The sequence below is a fragment of the Homo sapiens genome, chromosome 10, assembly GCF_000001405.40.
Source record: "Homo sapiens chromosome 10, GRCh38.p14 Primary Assembly".
Classification (NCBI taxonomy): domain Eukaryota; kingdom Metazoa; phylum Chordata; class Mammalia; order Primates; family Hominidae; genus Homo; species Homo sapiens.
Window position 1 is genome coordinate 125,377,590 of NC_000010.11, and position 2,111 is coordinate 125,379,700.

The window sequence follows — 2,111 nt, forward strand, 5'->3', positions numbered from 1 at the left end:
GCAGAAAGTGAAGAAATGCCTATGTTATCCCAGCCATGGGCTCCCATATCAGTGGATGAAGCTGCTTTCTGGGCATCCCTCTTTAAAATGTTTGGCTTTTCCTGTCCATAGCTCAGCCCCTTGCTGGCCAGAGATGAAGCTTGCAGGGAGAACATTGCAGCATTTGCAGCAAGCCTCCTTTGGCTTCTAGAGGTGAAAGTTGGGGAATGGGGGACCATGGGCAGGACACAGCCTCTGCTATAGCACTAGAGGCTTGAAATCAACCTTTTGGGAAGAAAACGTGAGTGCAGGCAGGAGTGGTAGAAATTAACTTTGTGGAAATAAAATTAAAAGGGCCCTTAGACAGTAAAAGGGGTTGGAACTAAAGGGGCAACATCAAGAAGTATAATGGTCTCAGTGGCAGTAAGTGGGCAGAGGTTCATGGACACATAGATAGGACAGTGATGGCTGTGACAGTAATTGGGGCTTGTCTGAACACAGGGGTGGAGAATTAGGAGACAGGGCATCACAAGCATGAGCACTCACACATGGCAAGGGTATAAAGGTCAACAATGAGCCTGAGAGTTACCAGGAAAAAATGTTAGCTGCCTCATGCAGGGCAGGAGTGAACAGAGAGAGAGTTTAGACATATCATTCATGAGGGTGAATCAATGGATGTGGTTTCATTTCTAAATGACACAAATAGATAAATATATTGAAACACACTACATAGGATGGGCAAAGATAAGACAAGCAGAATGAAAAAAAAAAAAAGAAATGAAGCAAGCTGTAGCATGACTATCAAATAAAGGAGATTTTAAGGAGAAAGGCATTGAATGAAGCAACTACCTTATGAAGGTGGTGCATGGACATTTGTTGGTTGCTTTTCCAGAAGCGATTCCCTCAATAGTATCCTGATTCCCCTTTGAGAGGTTACCATTCTCCCACTATTAGCCATATGTCTTGGGGTGGCAATAAACTCTTTTTAGCTTTTGGATGGGCCTCAAAACAATATATGCAGATGCCCAAAAAGACAGAGTAGAAAGAGAAAGAAAAATGAAGTTCTTGGTAGCATTATTTGGGGCTGCTGGATCAAGCCTAATCTAAAGCTTATTTTGTTAGTTACAAGAACTAGTAAATTCTATTATTGTTTCAACAAGTTCTCTTTTTTCATCTTTTATTTTAGGTTCAGGAGGTGCATGTACAGATTCATTACAGGAGAAAATTGTGTGTTTCTGGGGTTTGGTGTACAAACCCTGGTAGTGAGCGTACTACTGGATAGGTAGTTTTTTGACTTTCACCTCTTCCCACCCTCCACTCTCAAGAAGGCCCTGGTGTCTGTCGTTCCCATAATGTGTTCATGTGTACTCAGTGTTTAGCTCCCACCTATAAGTGAGAACATGTGGCATTTGGTTTTTTGTTCCTACATTAATTTGCTTAGGATAGAGGCGTCCAGCTGCATCCATGTTGCTGCAAAGGACATGATTTTGTTCTTTTCTACGGCTGCATAGTATTCCATGGTGTATATGTACCACATTTTCTTTATCCAATCCACTGTTGATAGGCATCTAGGTTGATTCCATGTCTTTCCTATTAAGAATTGTGCTGTGATGAACATATGCATGCATGTGTTTTTGGTAGAATGATTTATATTCCTCTGGTATATACCCAGTAATGGGATTGCTGGGTCGAATGGTAGATCTATTTTAAGTTCTTTGAGCAATCTCCAAACTGCTTTCCAAAGTAGCTGAACTAATTTATATCCCCACCAGCAGTGTGTAAGCATTCGCTTTTCTTGTTTTTGTTTTTTGAGACTGGATCTCACTGTTGCCCAGGCTGGAGTGCGCTGGTGCAAACATGGCTCACTGCAACGTTAACCTCCTGTGTTCAGGTAATCCTCCTGCCTTGGCCTCTTAAGTAGCTGGCACCATGGATGCATGCCATTATGCTGGCTAATTTTTAAATGTTTTGTAGGAACAGAGATTTGCCATGTTGACCAGGCTGGTCTTGAACTCCTGGGCTCAAGCGATCCTCATGCCTTGGCCTCCCAAAGTACTAGAATTACAGGCATGAACCACTATGCCCAGCCTGACTTTTTAATAATAGCCATTTTGACTGGTGCACAATGGTAT